The sequence below is a fragment of the Homo sapiens genome, chromosome 4 (assembly GCF_000001405.40).
Source record: "Homo sapiens chromosome 4, GRCh38.p14 Primary Assembly".
In the NCBI taxonomy this organism is placed as follows: Eukaryota; Metazoa; Chordata; class Mammalia; order Primates; family Hominidae; genus Homo; species Homo sapiens.
Genome location: NC_000004.12, coordinates 42,072,412 through 42,092,985, shown reverse-complemented (window position 1 = coordinate 42,092,985; position 20,574 = coordinate 42,072,412). Strand labels below are relative to the sequence as shown.

At 37.1% G+C, this 20,574-nt stretch overlaps 1 protein-coding gene across 1 annotated transcript in view; it reads right to left on the bottom strand.

Annotated features, from left to right (window-relative positions):
* Positions 1-2,524: 2,524 nt before the first annotated feature.
* The window catches only part of SLC30A9 (solute carrier family 30 member 9), a 99,932-nt gene continuing 81,882 nt past the window's right edge, over positions 2,525-20,574 (bottom strand). The window contains exons 16-18 of the mRNA NM_006345.4: positions 17,200-17,329; positions 14,661-14,774; positions 2,525-6,904 (exon numbers count right to left, since the gene is read on the bottom strand). Coding sequence (NP_006336.3) covers positions 6,860-6,904; positions 14,661-14,774; positions 17,200-17,329 — 289 coding nt within the window. The 3' untranslated portion in view covers positions 2,525-6,859. The remainder of the gene's footprint in view (positions 6,905-14,660; positions 14,775-17,199; positions 17,330-20,574) is intronic.

Genomic DNA, 20,574 nt, shown 5'->3' with positions numbered 1-20,574 from the left:
AATAAATAAATAAAAAATAGCCTAACGAAACAGACAAGACCTCAGCGTCCATAAAAACCTTAATGAGGGCCGGGCACGGTGGCTCACTCCTATAATCCCAACACTTTGGGAGGCCGAGGGGGTGGATCATCAAGTCAAGAGATCGAGATCATCCTGGCCAACATGGTGAAACGCTGTTTCTACTAAAAATACAAAAATTAGCTGGGTGTGGTGGCACACACCTGTAGTCTCAGCTACTCGGGAGGCTGAGGCAGGAGAATGGCTTGAACCCAGGAGGCGGAGGTTGCAGTGAGCCGAGATCGCGCCACTGCACTCCAGCCTGGGCGACAGAGCGAGACTCCGTCTCAAAAGAAAACAAACAAACCAAAAAAACCCAAACACCGCCCCCCGCCCCGCAAAAAAAAACAACTCATTGATCCACGCCCTACCCCAACCGTCATCCCCCTGTCCCAAGCAGTCTGAGTTAGATTTAGCTAATTGTTCTGACTACTGAATATAAATTAGGTTACTGTATAACAATATAATGAATATTTCCTTTCTAATTTTATACAGTGTTACTTCTCTTGGGCTTTTCTGTTTAGCAGAATGCTTCCTTGTGAGTTCAAATCCTGACTCTGCCTTTTATTGGATGAGTAGTCTCAGACACTAATATTAACTACTGTATCTGTTTCCTCATCTGCAAAAATGTGAATTACAGACCACATTTCACTGGCTCTTTGTGGGGATTAAATGTGTACATGTAGGCATGTACAGGCATGGTGGCTCATGCCTGTAATCCCAGCACTTTGGGAGGCGGAGGCTGGCAGATCACGAGGTCAGGAGATCGAGACCATCCTGGCTAACACGGTGAAACCCCGTCTCTACTAAAAATACAAAAAAAATCAGCTGGGCATGGTGGCGGGCGCCTGTAGTCCTAGGTACTTGGGAGGCTGAGGCAGGAGAATGGCGTGAACCCGGGAGGCGGAGCTTGCACTGAGCCGAGATCGCGCCACTGCACCCCAGCCTGGGCGACACAGCGAGACTCCGTCTCAAAAACAACAACAAAAAAGTGTACATGTAAAACAGTACCTGGCAAACAGACCTCAAAATATTCTGTTAATAGCTGTTATAATACTAGCAAGTATATATTTTAGTCTATTTAAAAACTTTTTTTTTTTTTTTTTTTTTTTTTGAGACAGAGTCTTGCTGTCTCCCAGGCTGGAGTTCAGTGGCACAATCTCGGCTCACTGCAAGCTCTGCCTCCCGGGTTCTTGCTATTCTCCTGCCTCAGCCTCCCCAGTAGCTGGGACTACAGGTGCCTGCCACCACGCCCTGCTAATTTTTTGTATTTTTAGTGGAGACGGGGTTTCACCGTGTTAGCCAGGATGGTCTCGATCTCCTGACCTCGTGATCCGCCCACCTCGGCCTCCCAAAGTGCTGGGAATACAGGCGTGAGCCACCGCGCCCGGCCGTTTAAAAACCTTTTAAAAGGGTTGTATTTTGGGCCCTAATGACACATACAATTCTTTATTTTCCTGTGCAAATCATAAACTGTAGTGGTTCTACTTTCAATAGGTTTTGAATTTTGGGAGGGAATTTTACCCTCTCAAAATACCAAATTACTTTGGTTTAGTTTCTCATGAAAAAGAAAATACAGTTGGAATTCCCACAGGATTAGTATAGAGTTCAATTTAGATCACAGTGCAGGCTGGCCTTAGGTTGAGGGTTTTGATGTTTCCATGTTTTGTATTTTTTTCTCTAAACATACTCTTGTAGACACATCTGAAACAAAACAGCCTAATTAAAATGTTAAATAATCTAGTTATGTCAAAATGTACTGAAAATATATATCACTAAGGAATATAACTTTCCAAATTTTGTTTTACCAAACATATTAATGTTAATATGTTAATAAACAGTATATTAATAGTTCTTTTTAAACTGAAACCGATTATAAAATGATTAAGTTATTATAGTTTGGTTTTATAAAACCAAAAAATGAATAGTTCTCTTTAAAGTGAAACCGATTATAAAATGATTAAGAGTTATTATAGTTAGGTTTTGTACGACCAAAAAGAAATCCTAAAAACTAACAGGCGGCCGGGCACGGTGGCTCACGCCTGTAATCCCAACACTTTGGGAGGCAGAGGCGGGTGGATCACGAGGTCAGGAGATCGAGACCATCCTGGCTAACATGGTGAAACCCCGTCTCTACTAAAAATACAAAAAATTAGCTGGGCGTGGTGGCGGGAGCCTGTAGTCCCAGCTACTCGGGAGGCTGAGGCAGGAGAATGGCGTGAACCTGGGAGGCGGAGCTTGCAGTGAGCGGATCTCCAGCCTGGGCGACAGATCGAGACTCCGTCTCAAAAAAAAAAAAAAAAAAAAACTAACAGGCACACTGAATGAGTAACAAATTCTGTTCAAAAACATAGGCATAAAAAATATATCAGATTATATAGTTTAGTTCTTAGCACATGAGGTAAAGAAGAATTTATGTTCAACAAACATTTATTTCTCAAGGGAAAAAAAATCCCAAACTAATAAATGAGTTGCCTTTATTTACATATGACATTTATTAAGGGAAAAAGTATCCTGAGGGACCAGGACCATCTTAATGTGCCAGGGAAATCAGACAGATGAAATACAATATAACGAATAAAAATTTTCTTTTTGCATAAAGCCAAGTCTAAGGATGCAAGTAAACTTACATGCAAATATAAAGGCTGTCAGACTAATCTATATAAATGGCTTCCAAAGTTCCATTTCAGAGAAAGAAATGAAGGATTTAGGGGAGACAATCTTTGAATCAACATTTTACCTTCGATTCTTTGCTTCACTGACTTCTGACAGTTTGGCAAATTGGGGTTCATCACATTTAAAAGAAATGCTGCCAAAGCTTGACAAATGCAGTCTAAGAAGATAATACAAATTCTAAATGCCTATGCAGTTTTCTGTAGTTCCCAGCATTCTTCCTCAAAAAGTTACGAGACTTAAAACTTAGGCACTCTTTAGATGGTTATCATTTTAGCAAAAATCATTACCTAAATTATGAGATAAGGTAACACTGAAAGCCATATACCAAAAACTCAAGCCTTATGACATTTTGTTATTCACTTTGCACTATGTGTGTGTGTGTAGGAGGATGTATGCAGGGATTACCTTTGCTTTTGAAAAAATTTGAAAATTTTTCCGTCTGATCTTATCTCACAGGTTCTTTAGTGTATGTTCAGGAACTTACCTCTTTGGAGTTGGATACTATAGGCCCCCAGGATACTCCACTTAAAAACAGATCACCGGAGCAGTGGCTCACACCTGTAATCCCAGCACTTTGGGAAGCCGAGGAGGGCGGATCACCTGAGGTCGGCAGTTCAAGACCAGCCTGACCAACATGGAGAAACCTTGTCTAAACCAGAAATACAAAATTAGCCGGGTGTGGTGGCGCATGCCTGTAATCCCAGCTACTCAGGAGGCAGGAGAATCACTTGAATCGGGAGGTGAAGGTTGCGGTGAGCTGCAATTGTGCCAGTGCACTCCAGCCTGGGCAACAAGAACGAAACTCTGTCTCAAAAAAAAACAAAAAAAACAAAAACACTCCACCCCTCATCCTCCCACTGCCATGATGAAAACTGTGCCACCTTATATAGTTTGGGGACTGCTACTTACAGTGAATTAGAGATCCATTCTCAGCCAAAGCTAAAAGTAGGTACAGATGCTTTTTACTTATTATTGGGTTATGTGCCAATAAACCCATCATAAAAATTCTTAAGTGCAACCATTATAAGTCAGGGACCACTGTATACCTCACCTTTGATAAATCCTAGATTTTAGTTTTGGGCAAGAAGGAATCAATCATGGACCCTTGACTGCCCCTCCTCTGTCCAGTATTATTTTTGTAATTATTCTCCTGCAGAGAATATTTTCCTTAAAAATGATTTATATGCTTTAATACTCAAATGCTATATGCCAAAGTAGATACAAAGTAAGAAACATTAATTTGGTAAAATAACAAGAAACCTGAAAAACTAAATATAGCCTTATTTTTGGAGAAAGAGACCCAAATTCTCTTTTTGAGACAGGATCTCACTCTGTCATTCAGGCTGGAGTGGCATGATCATAGCTCATTGCAGCCTCGACCTCTGGGGCTCAAGTGATCCTCCCACCTCGGCCTCCCAAGTAGCTGTGACTACAGATGCTGATATGCTTTGGATCTTTGTCCCCACCAAATCTCATGTCGAATTGTAATCCCATGTTGGAGGTAGGGCCTGGTGGGAGATGACTGGATCACGGGGGTGGAGTTCTCATGAATACTTTAGCACCTTCCCCTCTTGGTACTGTATAGTGAGTTCTCATGAGATCTGGTTGTTTACAAGAGTGTGGCACCTACCCCCAATCCCCGCCTCTTGCTCTTCCTCTGGCTATGACTGCTTCCCCTTCGTATTCTGCCATGAATGAAGTTTCCCGAGGCCTCCCCAGAAGCAGAAGCTGCTATGTTTCCTGTTCAGTCTGCAGAACCATGAGCCAATTAAAGCTCTTTTTTTGATTACTCAGTCTCAGGTATTTCTTTATAGCAGTGTGAGAATGGACTAACACAGGTGAGCACCACCACACCCGGCTAACTTTTTTTAGTAGAGATGAGGTCTCGCTGTGTTGCCCAGGCTGGTCTTGACCTCCTGAGCTCAAGCAATCCTCCTGCCTCGGCCTCCCAAAGTGCTGGGATTACAGGCATAAGCCACCATATCCAGCCCAAATTCTCTGATTTGAAAATTCAGTGACTCTAGAAAAATTTCCTGATTCCACATAAATACTCAAATTCCTTGATATGTTGTACTCCTTTATGTCTTATTTTACATAAACAAACTTTATGTAAGTTTATCAGTGCAAAACAGAATTAGAAAAGATGGCAACATAAACCTTCAATTATTATTTAAGAATGGTATGACCTCAACCAAAATCAGATTTAAAAAGAAATATCAGAATTTTTTTTTTTTTTATTAGGGAATCCTAAAAAAAAAAAATTACCATTTGGAATACCTGCTGCACATTAACTTTGAGGGTCGTCTTGGGAAAAAAAATGAGTAATTATTCTTGTCTGGCTTTGTGAAATTTTTCAGAGTAATATCACTAGGAGGAAACTGGATATAATTTGGTACTTTCTCATATGGCAATGACATGAAGTAATAAATGGCAAGTGGGAAAGGGGAAGGAAGAAGAAAAAAGTATAGAATAAATCATAACAGGTAAAAAAAAAGTTTTTTTTGTAAAGAAGGGATAAGGAATTTGAAACTGTAAGAATAGAGTATCAAATTATATATATATATAACAATTTTCTATCTTAAAAATAAAACTGGAATGTTATTTCACTTAAAATGTACAGCATGCAAAATACTCTGTAATAGTAAAAAAAAAAAAAAGAAAAATACACCAACGTAAAGTCTCACAATTTTCCAGTAAATGAGATTTCTGGGTCAAAAATCACCATTACAAACCCTTTAACCAAGGATTTATTTTTTGTTTCCAGCATTACAATTTGCAATAATTCATAGATTTCCATTCCAGTAAGTTTTAAGACACAGATCTCACACAGGCAGTTGGGTCCACATGTTAAGAACTCATTAATTCAGCAAAGAGATCACCCAGCCGCCATTCTCATATGAACAATGCTCACTGCTACCTGAACATTTTAAAGTATGTTATGAGTTGTTTTGATGATGACAGCTGCAGCTTTTCACCACATTTTCAATTACTGAATTGCATGTTTTTTTTCCACCTTGATAACTTAGGGTCAGTAGAAAGCTATTTACTTACATGTTATAGTCAATATAACTATACTAAATGCCCATTTGTAACTGAAGAAACTCACAGACACAGTATGAACTATATTATACAAAATCATGACCATGAGTTTCAGTGAGAGATTCTGTCTCTCTCTTAAAGCAAGAAATATCCCACAGCTCAGATTTACATAAGTAGTGCCGCCTTTTAAATAAAAGTCAAATGCTGTCCTGCCTGTAAAATTATAAATATTTCTAACCCACTTTACAGAATTTTAAAATGCTTATAAATGCATTATCTTCCAGTAAATAAACATTATGGTACTGAACCTCATTTAAAAAAAAGTCATCACACTGGCCCATGGAAATATCTAGGACTATATCTCCTAACATTAGAAAAATTAAACCAAATAAGGGGAAAAAAGCAAAGAAGAAAAAAGAAATTTTACAAAATGGCAACTACTATGACCTAAAAGAGTGTACTGAGATGTCTTCATTCAATTCAGTAACTAAACATTTCTGGAATGAACATTTGTAGATAACTAGGTAAGGAGAGTGATTCTCTTAGCACTCAGGTCAAAATCACAAGGTATGGAGAAATAATTTCCACATTCTATAAGGAAAGACAGACTTTGAAACGGAGTGACTGTTTAAAAACCACATACCAAGATTTAGCCAGAATATTGAAGATTGGCAGATCTTGATGGAGTGAAATCTTCAGAGGCAACAAATTAAAAATCATGATCCTATGGATGCCACTTATTTTTACCAATGTGAAAAAAGGAAAGATGATTGCAAAGTACAGTATACACTGAACAGGTGAAATATGGGACATTATGAACAATTTAAATAACCAAAATGTTCCCTATGGAAGCATAAAAACATGATTTTCAAATTGATTCAACTTGTAGTGTGTCTGTTAGATGTAAGTAGTAGTTTTAGTTCTGTGTCCTGCTGAGTTGCTCTTTACATAAAATATTTCCTTCATCTTAAAAAAAAGGCTTCTGCATGGCACTGAGTCTTTCAGTGTAGGAGAGGAGGAAACTTTGTAGAGTGGACGGACAAACTTGTTTCCAAGGTCCCCACCCAGGTGATTCATTCCATCAAACTCACAGTATCTCCAAATCTACATGTCGAACTTCAGGATTTCGTTTCTGGAAAGAAAAATCACCACCACATTATTTGTAGCAAAATAAAATCTTGTTTCTTTTTATTCCTTTTGGTCATTAGAGCCAATGAAAACATTTGCAAACTATTTCACTATAGCATACTAATGAGAGAAATAGTTGCATAAGAAAAAAAGTAAGATCAATAGGTAAATAGACATACTATAAACAGTACAATAAGTAGTATCACATTCCTAAGTTTGTTCATGTGTTTGTTAATACAAAAGTGCATTAAGGATCTAGTACATGCCAAGCATTGCGAAGCACTGGAAATACACATTTTTGTGTGGTGAAAACAAAATCACTGCAAAACAATAATAATCAAAAAGAGTAAATTGACAACCACTCATTTTATATACTTTAGCAACAATCCATATATTCTTGGGCCGGGCCCTGTGCTAGAAAACAGAGCTATGATTATTAAATAAGACTCTGTTCCTGACCCTGAGTGACTCAGTTTAGCTAGGGAGACCAGCATAGCAGTAATCATCTACAAGTTAAAGTATTAGAGCTAATAATAAAAAGTTAACATTTATTGCTTACTCACTCATGTATCAAGTACTGTGTTACATGAGCACATGTATGTGTGTTTTAAAAGCCTCATAACCTAATTACTATTTCCATCTTATACATACATCAGGGAAAACTGAAGTACGAAGAAATTAACTAACCTGTCTGAAGTCACACTGCTAGTAAGTGATGGAGCCAGGATTGATTCCAGGCCTGACTCCAGGCCTGATTCCAGATCCCAAGCTCCTATTACACTGTACTAAATAATAACACTGGGAGCAAAAATGAGACAGCCATTTTGCTCATGAGATCTAGAAAATTTCACTGAGGATATAATATCTAAGGTAGGTCTGCATATGATGAGCCTTCCAGGTAGATAATGAAGAGTGTCTAGACAGAAAACACAACATCAGCAAAGTCAGACAGCCTGCAAAGTGTGCACTGGCACTATGGTATAGCTAGCACAGAAGCTGCAAAAAGGGTAGGGTTGGTAATGAGGCTGGAAAGACAGGCAGAAATCAGGTTGTTAAAAATCTTATATGCTAGCTTAAGGAACTTCAATTCAATAACAACCAATACTGTCTACTATTACATGCCTACTCTGTGCCAGGCATTGAAGTGTATATGACAATGAGCTGGGAACAAACAGTATTTGCCTTCAGTGGACTTACGTTTGGTAGTGAGGTGATATAGGTAAATTAAGTAGGCAATTACAACACTCGGCTACCACAGAGCAAAGTAAAGATTTTGGGTTTCTTTTTCCTGTGAGTGCACAAAGGAAGGGCACCTGGCCGGGCGCGGTGGCTCACGCCTGTAATCCCAGCACTCTGGGAGGCCGAGGCGGGCGGATCACAAGGTCAAGAGATCAAGACCATCCTGGCCAACATGATGAAACCCCATCTCTATTAAAAAGTACAAAAATTAGCTGGGCATAGTGGCGCATGCCTGTAATCCTAGCTACTCGGGAGGCTGAGGCAGGAGAATCGCTTGAACCCGGGAGGCAGAGGTTGCAGTGAGCCGGGATTGTGCCACTGCACTCCAGCCTGGCGACAGAGCGGGACTCCATCTCAAAAAAATAAAAAAATAAAAAATAAAATAAAATAAAGGAAGGGCACCTAAATCAACTTAAGGGGAATTACAAATATAATAAAATGTAACATATTAATACTGTGAGAAGGGAGGACAGAAAGTAGTGTATAAAAGAACTAAATCTACACCTATCGTAGAGGAAATACTGTTAAATCAAGAGAAGTAGTATAAGACTTTTATGCAGAAATATGGCAATAAATAAAGACATACTAAAAGTATTAAAAATGGTTATCTCTTAAAATATAAGTACTGAGGCAGGTGAGGCAGTGATAGTTATTTCTGTTATAATCTTTTCAGTTCTATTTGACTTTATAAACTTTGTGCATTATTGATAAAAATTGCAAAAATAAAAAGGGGAGAAAAGTTCCTGTAAATGATTCAGTTAGGATTCCTAGCTTAAAAATATCCTAGGACCATGTGCATATTACTTGTATTAAAGGCATCCAGTTATAAAAACAAAATCTGGCAGAATATTGGAGTTTTGCTCCAGCAAGAACACTCTACTGAGTGCACACAGGGATTTTTCTTATAACTAGTGTCGCTCAGGTGTGCCTGGGGGTACTTTCCTCTTAGATCCTAATGTGGGAATGACCAGGGACCTTTTAACAAGGAGGGCACACTTTTGTTCCCAACTTTTTCCTTATTTAAAACTATTCCCTGTCTCTAGAACTCCTTAAACTCAATATAGAATTAAAAAAAAATTCTCCAAACAGAAATGAAACTAAATTGTATCTTCCTACTCCAATCAACCCTTACCTATCCTAATATGACTTGAAAAATTTACCTGTTCATTAAGTTTGACATTATTCTGTCTAAAAAGCATGATATAAATAAATGTGTACTAATAAAAGCTTTATCTTAAAAAAAAGCCTAAAAATTTGCTCTGCTTTTTAAAATCAAGTTTTCAGAGTAAACTAATCAAATTTGTAAAAGTATATGTGCACAATACAAAGCACACAATATATGCTGAATGAATAAATATGATTAATATCCTTAAAATTCAATGTTTACTGCTTAACAAGATATCATGTGTATAGTAGAAACTAATATTTATTGAACAGAACTGAAAATCAATAATTGGTATCCAATTTAAAATTTTCACCCACTTATTCAACAAATACTTTAAAATCTATATTCCTTGCATTGCTCAATACCGATTAGGCTATTTTACACACCATGAGGATTTTATTCCAATACTTGCAGAGAGTTAAAGCCCAAATTACATAATTTATTTTACAATGCTGCAGATTCATTAAAAACAATGCTTTAAGAGAAACTGGAGAAACAAAGGCAAAGTAAAGAACAGAGCATTTAATTCAGCCATTATTTATAAGGAATTTATGAATGCTACAGCAGCCTCCCAATGAACTAATTTCCATTAATCATCATAAACAAAAAACTTAATGGAGGGATAGGAGAAAGGTTTATCTATACTCTGAAATACAGAGATAAGACAAAAAATGTTTAACAGGTCAAAGAACTTCAAAATAATAACAAGATATATTTTATATTAATTTTGTAGTTCCTATCTTGTAATATGGGAATCTATGAATTAGTCTCTATTATTTTTAACACCTTTACAGATAACTATACAAAAGTTCTAGAATTTTTTTTTTTTTTTTTGAGATGGAGTCTTGCTCTGTCACCCAGGCTGAAGTGCAGTGGCACAATCTCGGCTCACTGCAACCTCCACCTCCCAGGTTCAAGCAATTCTCCTGTCTCAGACTCCTAAGTAGCTGGGACTAGAAGGGCCCGCCACCATACCAAGCTAATTTTTCTATTTTTAGTAGAGATGGGGTTTCACCATATTGGTCAGGCTGGTCTTGAACTCCTGACCTCAGGTGATCCACCCGCCTTGGCCTCCCAAAGTGCTGGGATGACAGGCGTGAGCCACTGCGCCCAGCCACAAGTTCTGGAATTTTAAGCCAAAAATATAATCTATTTCAACACTCAATGGCATTACTCAACAGAGATGACTCCACTGGTACAGAATTATATAAATGAGTGTGACCTCCCAAAATAATCCAATAATAATTACAATTTAAACTGAGATACTAAAAATGAAGGAATATGCCAGTGAACAAAGTTTTAGTTTTCAAAAGGAAATCACCTTATTTTCATGACTAAGAAAAACAATTACATTCATGCATTCCCTTTTGGTTTGGCACCTCAACTATGAACATGTCCTTTGACTTAAGATTAATTATGCTTTATTATCTTTATTTTATTTTATTTATTTATTTTTTTTTTTTTTGAGACGGAGTCTCGGTTTGTCACCCAGGCTGGAGTGCAGTGGCTCGAACTCGGCTCACTGCAAGCTCTGCCTCCTGGGTTCATGCCATTCTCCTGCCTCAGCCTCCGGAGTAGCTGAGACTACAGGTGCCTGCCACCACGCCCGGCTAATATTTTGTATTTTTAGTAGAGACGGGGTTTCGTCATTTTAGCCAGGATGGTCTCGATCTCCTGACCTCGTGATCCACCCGCCTCGGCCTCCCAAAGTGCTGGGATTACAGGCATGAGCAACCGCACGCGCCCGGCCATGCTTTATTATCTTAGCCAAAGACGTTTCCACCTGAATGTATGGATTATACTTACCTTCCTGGTTTGAAAGACTTACATAATTCAAAAACATTATTAATGATTTAATAGCCTCTAGTTAAAGTACAAAGTTAGCTAAACAAAAACAATAAGGTCTGATTGTTGTAAGAGTAAATGTAGGTGACAAGGACCAATTTGGTGATTATTCTTAAATCTGGCTTCTGATTTCTTGTATCTACTAAAATGTAAAGCAAATATTTAGTCCATTATTTTCCTTGCCAGCAAAATAAAAACAAGTAGAATAAAGAGCAAAGTTTATTCAATCTTGTGCTACCTTGCACAAAAATAACCATTGTCTCACATTTTATACAGATTAGTTGTTTGCAAAGTGCGGTTCAAGGACTGCTGGGGTCCTGAGACCTTTTTAGGGGGACTCTAAGGTCACAACTATTTTCACAGTAACTGTAAGACATTCTTTGCTTTTTTTACTATGCTGACATTTCCTGATGGCATAAAAACAATGGTGGGTAAAACTGCTTGCACCTTTGCACAATTCAACACAAATGGCATCAAACAATACCAGTAGTCATTGTCTCTACTGTCCCACACTTGACATTAAAAAAAAAGCCAGTTTCATTTAAAAAAGTCTTTCATGAAATAGCAAATATATCCATTTTATTAAACCTAAACCCTTGAGTTCACTTTTAAAAATACTGTGACAAAATGGAAAGTACGTAAAAGTACTTCTTTGATTGCTTAAGTTGTGAGCTGAATAAACTGCTTTTTAATCTAGAGTACATTTTTATTTGAAAGATTAACAAACTCGGTTTATTCAAATTTGGGTATTTGGCAGGCATCTCCTAAAAAATGAACAAAATGAGTCTTATTTCAAGGAAAACAACAGTATTTGTTGCTAATGATAAAATGCAAGCTTTTAAGTGGAAATTTAAGTTGAAAAACATATCCACCCCATCAGCCTGAGAGTGTACCCATATTTAGAAATGTATCAACATCTGAAAGATCTAAGTACTTCTGTGAACCAGTATTTTCCAAAATACTAATTCATAATGTTATAGAATCATGCATGGGTAAAAGATTCATTCAGAGTATAAAAATAGACCAACAGATTTTAATATAACAGTGTATAGTAGAGAATTAATCTTACCCAAAGGGAGGTTTGGCTTTTGTTCTCCATAACCGGGAGGGAATTTCTAGGCCCTTGACATGTCCTGCCTAAGAGTGTCTTTGTTTATCTGGGGGCATTAACTTTAGAATGTGATATATGATGGGGGCCTTTGGCCACACAGTATCTGCTCTACCTCTAGAAGGGCTAGAGACAAAAGGTCAGCTACTTATGCAGTCAACTATGGAGCCTCAATAAAATCTCTGGTCATCAAGTCTCAGATGAGCTTCCCGGTTGGCAACACGTCATGCTACTGTCACACTTCATTGCCAGGAGAGTAATACTATGCATTACAGAGAAAAGACAACTGAAACTTCATGTTTGGAACTTTCCTGGACCCTGCCCTATGCACTTCTTCTGCCCTTGGCTGATTTCAAGCAGTATCCTTTCCCTGTAATAAACCAAACCATGATGGGTATAACATGATTCGGTGAGTTCTAAGAGTCCTAGTGAGTTATTAAATCTGAAGGTGCTCTAGGGAACCTCCTGAACTCACAGTTGGTATTAGAAGGAAGGACAGTCTTGTAGACTGTGCCCCCTACCTTCACAAGTAGCATATGAGAAGTTCATTCATTGATTTGGTTTCTACCAGCTGTTATAACACCAAAAGAGAGTATCACAATTATCTCAAAAGGCTATAGGAACAGTTCTCCCTTTCCTTCATGTTCTTCGGCCAAACAATCAAATCACTACAACTGAAGGCAGAAGCAGATATGGGAATGTAGCTGTCTTCTACTAAGCCAGGCATAAGAGACTTTTGCAAAAATGTGAAATATCACTCTTCTAACTACGTTTTTTCATTTTGGAAAATATAACTATTTATATAAAAATGTGGGCTTGGCATGGTGGCTCACGCTTGTAATCCCAGCACTTTGGGAGGCTGAGGTGGGCACATCACAAGGTCAGGAGTTCAAGACCAGCCTGGCCAACATAGTGAAACCCTGTCTCTACTAAAAGTACAAAACAAAACAAAAATTAGCCAGGCGTGGTGGTGGGTGCCTGTTATCCCAGCTACTTGGGAGGCTGAGGCAGGAGAATCCCTTGAACCTGGAAGGCGGAGGCTGCGGTGAGCTGAGATCGTGCCACTGCACTCCAGCACGGGTGACAGTGCGAGACTCCGTCTCAGTTAAAAAAAAAAAAAAATGTGACTGGGTGGGGTGGCTCACTCCTGTAATCCCAGCACTTCACAGCACTTTGGGAGGCCAAGGCAGGCAGATCACTTGAGGTCAGGAGTTCGAGACCAGCCTGGCCAACATGGTGAAACCTCATCTCTGCTAAAAATACAAAAATTAGCTGGGCATGGTGGCAGGCACCTGTAGTCCCAGCTACTCAGGAGGCAGAGGCAGGAGAACTGCTTGAACCCAGGAGACGGAGGTTACAGTGAGCCCAGATCGTGCCACTGCACTCCAGCCTAGGCAACAGAGTGAGATTCTTAGTTAAAAAAAAAAAAAAAGTTATTTATATTAAATAGGTGTATGTTTTTAAAAGTAAATGATAAATATTTTAAAATTTATCTACTTTCATGCATGATTTGGTAAATATCAATAACTATAACTCAAATAAATAAAATCTCTTTGAGGTCTGCAATAATTTTTAAGAATGAAAGCGTCTTAAGACCAAAATATCATCTAGAAAATTCAAAAATTATGTCAGATAAAGCTCATGAACTATAATATTAACAAAATCTTATTTGAAGTACTTGTATTAATCTAATCGGATATCCAGATTCTCAAAGGAAAACTTGAAAAGTAGAGATGGAAGTTTTTTTCTTCAATTTTTTACAAAATTAAAGAATGGTCAATATCAACTGCAGAAAAAGCACTGCCTTCAACAAATTATATACATTAAAGATCATTTACAAGTTTTTATTCATTGCAAACAGAATTCAAATGTCAATAAATGGCAATTTGAGAACACTGAGACATTTTAAAAGACAACCTGATCAGGATCAGGTAATATTTCAGTAACATAATCAATAAATTACAATAACATCCAACTGAATAGAAACAAACAAAAACAGAAAATAATTTCAAATGGGCTAAAAGCAAGATATACATTCTATTTTTTCTAACTTTTGACCACAGTCTAAAGTTTCCTTTTCATCTTTCTCTAGGAACTTTCAAAATGCTTATTTATTAACAAACAAAAAAACCCCCTTTGACTATTTTAGAAACTAAGCAGGCTGCATAAAATAGTGTTTAAAAGTAAAGAATCTGGTTCAAATCACAATTTCCCTATTTCCTTGGGTAAATTATTCAACTTATCTAACCCAGTCATTTTCTTGCTTATAAATACCTACACACTGTGGAGTTATGAGTGGGTTAAAGCATGCATGTGATGGATGCACTTAGTGTCTGCTGTAGAGTAAGTACTCAAAAAAATAGCTGCCATTATCATTATGTTATTTTTATGAATACATCTTACTTTCAGTTCCTTCTCAAGTCTATCTACTTCAGCTCCTAAAGTATCAATAATATTTTCTCCATGTTTAAGCATAAAGGTCTCTAGTTCTTCAGGAGTTTTCACTTCTTGAATTTCCTATAAAGAAAATGAAAACAGGAAAATAAATTTTTAAAAAACCATAGTGGTACACTTATGACTCCTTAAAAAAAAACAAACCTATAACAAACGCCATTAAGTTTAATGAACATTTTTAAAACTTTAAGCCACAGGCAATGGATTACCTATTTCCAAAACAATTCGGATCAAGAAAACTGAGTATAATACTACACAGAGGTAGCACTACAAAATTACTGGGGAAATAATATAGTCAATAAATAGTGTTAGAATATTTTCCCTTAAGAAAAAAAAATTGAATCCCTATGTCAGACCATTAAAATAATTCAAAGTGGATGAAAGACATAAGGGTAAAAAACAAACCACAAAACTACTAGATGAGAAGAGAATATTTTTATGATAATGGGATATGGAAGGATTTTTCATGCAAAAGAATAAAAAGCACAGAGGAAAAGATTACAAATCTCACATTAAAATTAAAAATCATATTAAATATTTTGTATAACAACAAAAAGAAAAGGAAGTTATAAACTAGAAAAAAATAATTGCATATATACAAGTAAGAATTAGCATCCAGGATATTAAAAATAAAGACCTTTCCAGGAGTTCAAGACCAGCCTGGCCAAGATGGTGAAACCCCATCTCTACTAAAAATAGAAAAATTAACCGGGTGTGGTCACAGGCACCTGTAATCCTAGCTACTTGGGAGGCTGAGGTAGATAATTGCTTGAACCTGGGGGGCGGAGGTTGCAGTGAGCCAAGATCGCGCCACTGCACTCCAGCCTGGGTGACAGAGCGAGACTCTGTCTCAAAAAATAATAATACAATGCAATAAAATAAAGACCTTTCAAATCTATAAGTGTAATGCAAATGAACTTAAAACATGAAAAATCAGGGAGCAATGTAGAGGAAATCCCACTGGTCAATGAACTTCAATGTTTATTAACCTCAATGCTCCAAGAAATAAAATTAGAACAAGATACTATTTCACACCTATCAAACTGGCAAAAATTTAATAACTCTATTAATACAATCATGTAAGAATAGGAAGCAAGAACCTTGATATACAATGATGGAAGTTAAATTGACACACTTTGGAAAATAACTTGGTAAGACCTAGGCAAGCTGAAGGTAAGTACACCCAATGGCCCACCTATTTAAAATCTAGCTATCTATATATACACCATACTAAAGAAATTTTCATATATGTGAACAAGGAAACGTGTGAGAATGCAATCATGGCATTGTTTCTTTCTTTTTTTTTTTTTTTTGAGACGGAGTCTCGCTCTGTCGCCCAGGCTGGAGTGCAGTGGCACGATCTAGGCTCACTGCAACCTCCAACTCCCAGGTTCAAGCGATTCTACTGCCTCAGCCTGCCGAGTAGCTGGGACTACAGGCACGCACCACCACACCCAGCTAATTTTTGTATTTTTAGTAGATACGGGTTTTCACCATGTGGGCCAGGATGGGATCGATCTCTTGACCTCGTGATCCGCCCACCTCGGCCTCCCAAAGTGCTGGGATTACAGACGTGAGCCACCGCGCCCGGCCATGGCATTGTTTCTAACAGTAATATAAATGTCCATCAACTGGAGACAAAATAAATAAATTACAGCATATTCATAGGATGAAATGCTCTATAACAATGAAGGTAAACTGACTAGAGATATATAAATTAACACGGAAGAATCTAAAAAATATGTTGTTATGCCAATTGTAGAGACGCATACAGTAGGATACCATTTATACCAATTTTTAAACATTCAAAATGTTACATATTACACTAAAAAATGCTGAAAAGTATAAAAATCTGAATGGAAAAGACAGGTACCAAATTCAGCATAATGTTTAATTCTAGGGATGGAAGAAGAAGAATGAGATATAGAAAGAGAAAATGGGGGCTTGAATTGTTTTTGTAATTATTTCTTTTTTTAAGACCTTAAGCAAATACACTATAGCAAAATGTTAAGATTTGACAGGGGCAAGTGGTAACATCTGTGCTGTTCATTATATTCTGTTTTATAAATTCTCTTTTAAACTATTCTTAATAAAAAAATGGATTCTGGAGTCAGGCAGATCTCGATTCATATATGACTCCATCTCTGTGGCACTACAACTTAAGGCAAATTACTTAATCTCTGTCTTTCAATTTCTATATATGTTAAAATAAAAATGTTATTTCATTGTTGAAATAACAGGGTTGTTGAGGGTAAATTAGATAAAAAAAGATTAAATGCACATAGCAAGCATGAAATAGTAAGTTTGTTCTTTTGCTGTCTCCTCTGAACCCCTCCATAGTAAATATAAAGGTCTCTGTTAAATTTTGGAACCTAAGAAGTTGAGAGCTAAAGTGCCTTTAAGATCTATAAAAAAAAATTTCATTTTGTTTACCTTAAAAGCATTTTTCTAACCCTCAGTTATGTAAGAAAACAACAAATAAACTTACTTGTAACATTTGGTCAAAATCTTGTTTTTCCAAATATGATCTTGTAACAACTCGCCCATCAAAATCTACTTCTGCCTTAAATCTTACTTTACCTAATCCCAGATCTGTGGCTTTAACATCATGAATTGCCCTGCAATCAATAACAATGCATACAAATTTATTTATACATACATACACATATATATACTTTAATAGCACAAAGGCTTGAATTATTGTTTTTTTCCCCACTAGTTACGAGAATGGACTAAGATGGCTTCAGAGTATTCACCATTAAGTACCACCTATCATTTTCCAAGGCCTGTCCGTTTAGCTTTTTTTTTGGCATGATATCATACAAAGGTGCAAACTTAACAAATATTATTTTATGGTAATTTATGAATTATAAAGCTCATGTATTAAAAGTTCATTAACTCTGCTGGGCGCAGTGGCTCATGCCTGTAATCCCAACACTTTCGGAGGCCGAGCAGGGAGGATCACCTGAGGTCAGGAGTTTGAGACCAGCCTGGCCAATATGGTGAAACCCTGTCTCTACTAAAACTACAAAAATTAGCCAGGCATGGTGGTGCATGCCTGTAATCCCAGCTACTCAGGAGGCTGAGACAGGAGAATTGCTTGAACCTGGGAGGCAGAGGTTGCAGTGAACCCAGATTGTGCCACTGCACTCCAGCCTGGGCAACAGAGTAAGACTCTGTCTCAAAAAAAAAAAAAAAAAAAAAAAAAAAAAAAATATATATATATATATATATATATATATATATATATATATTCATTAACTCTAAATCAATTTTCTAAAATGTCATGTTATCTCATAAGCCTTTGTCTCCATATATCTACTTATCAATTTCCTAAATGCCATATAAAAATTTGTTTTAATTTATAATGGTGTTGTAGAGTATATTAACCAATTGTATGTTCACTAGCTTCTTTAAAAGTCTTCATACAATGCTGTGAAGTTCTCTATTAGAATGAGGTTAATAATAACTGCCACATGGGACTTGATGTGAGGAATAATGAGCTAATACATATATAAAATGTTTAATACAGTAAGAACTATAAGGCAGGCATTTAATGGATGGCTTTCATAAGTGGATAGGGTGACATCTTTATTTTATACATGATAAAACCATCCTAGAGTGGCATAAGTGACTTGCTCAAGGTAATTTAGCTAGTAAACAGCAGATTAGGACTCCCCAGCCCAGCTCTTCAGAAATGCAAGCCCAGTGGTATTTGCATCATACCCTTTTGCCTCCCAGACAGGAAAGCAGATACTCAAGCATAACTACTTTTCACCCCTCCTGCTCTAACCCTCAGTAAACAATCTTCCCTAGAAACTGCTGAGAAATTCTCTTCTTTCTACAGTGATCACTGTAAGATCTTTTCTGTACAGCACATATAAGAAATAACAAAACACTCTGAATTCTGAGGACATGGAGATTTACTAGAAAAACAAGCCTACGTAAGACTCCAAGTATTCTTACAACATTAGACCCTAATTTCTGAGGGATCCTGAGCAGGTTACTAAACACTGAGTCCAAAATTTTTTATCCATATAAGGAAGCTATATTTTAATCAACCATCAAGGATGAAATAAGAATTAATGTTTTAATATTTATAGTTACATGTGCTCAAGTTAAAACAAAACTTTTTCAGATTGGCAAAAGGCTATATCATTTATTCTTTTTTTTTTCTCTCCTGGTAACTCACAGAACATATTTATTCATTTTCAAAAATCATTTCTACTTTAGTCTTCACAGAGTATAAACACATTTCATTATTTGGCTGGTATGTGAGTAGCAACTAATAAATATATTTAGATATACTTTTTCCTTATGTTCTTACATATAACTAACTACAGACAGAAAACTGTTTGGAGGGCTCCCATATGATCAATCCCTGCCACCTATACGCAAGCCCTTGTGTGATCTCCTCTCACTGAATGTGGGCTATAACTACCAAATATGGCAAAGTGATGAGATGTCATTTCCAAGACCAGGTGACTAACCTGTGACTTTTGTCTTGTTCACACTCGCTCTCTATTGCCTTATCAATTTGCACGCTTTGATTAAGCAAGCTGCCATGTTGAAGAGGCCCATTTGGCAAGGAGCTAAATCTTGCGAACAATCATGTGAGTAAGGTTAGAAGCAGCCCCTTCCCCAGGAGATGACTATAATCCCAGTCAACACCTTGATTACAGTCTATGAGAAACCCTGAAGTCGAAGACCCAGATAAGCTGTGCCCTGATTCCTGACTCACAGAAACTGTAAGATGGTAATATGTTGTTTAAACCACTAAGTTTTGGGCCAATTTGTCACACAGCAGTAGGTAACTAATATACTGTTTAAAAAAATTGTATGAATTTTCTGGATTACTAACGTATTTTTTCCAATAATTGAATCCACAGATATTCACTCTTCCACAAAATTTCGAATTTGCCAGTCTTTCAGTTTATAGCTCTTTTTTAGACATTACTTATTAAACAATATATACAAAATTATAAACATGTATGTAGCAACAACAGAGCACCAAAATATATGATGCCAAAACCAAGAAGAAATGAAGGGAGGAAGAGCTAATACAACAACAATAACTAGAGACTTCGATACTTTCAGTAACGGATACAGAGGCCGGGCACGGTGCTCACACCTAGCACTTTGGGAGACCGAGGCGGGTGGATCACCTGAGGTCAGGAGTTTGAGACCAGCCTGGCCAACATGGCCAGTGATGAAACCTCGTCTCTCAGGAGTTTGAGACCAGCCTGGCCAACATGGCCAGTGGTGAAACCTCGTCTCTACTAAAAATACAAAAATTAGCTGGTCATGGTGGTGAGCACCTGTAATCCCAGCTACTTGGGAGGGTAAGGCAGGAGAATCACTTGAATCTGGGAGGCGGAGGTTCCAGTGAGCCAAGATCGTGCCACTGCACTCCAGCCTGGGCAACAAGAACAAAACTCCATCTAAAAAAAAAAAAAAAAAAAGGATAGAACAATAGAGCAAGAAGATAATTAGGGAAATTGAAGTCACTATAAACCAATTAAACCTAACAAACATCTACAGAACACTCTACAACAACAGCAGAATATACATTCTTCTCAAGTGCACATGAATATTATCCAAGACTATATGTAAGGCCATAAAACAAACCTTGGTAAATTTAAAAGGACAGAACTAATATAAAACATATTCTTTGACCACAATAGAACAAAATAATAAATCAATAATGGAAAGAAATCTGTGCAACTCACAAATACGTAAAAATTAAGTGACATACTCCCCTAAATAACTGAAAAGAATAAAAAAAGAAATTAGAAAATACTATTAGATAATGAAAATGGCACAATATATGGAAATGTGTGGAATGCAGAGAAAGCAATACTTA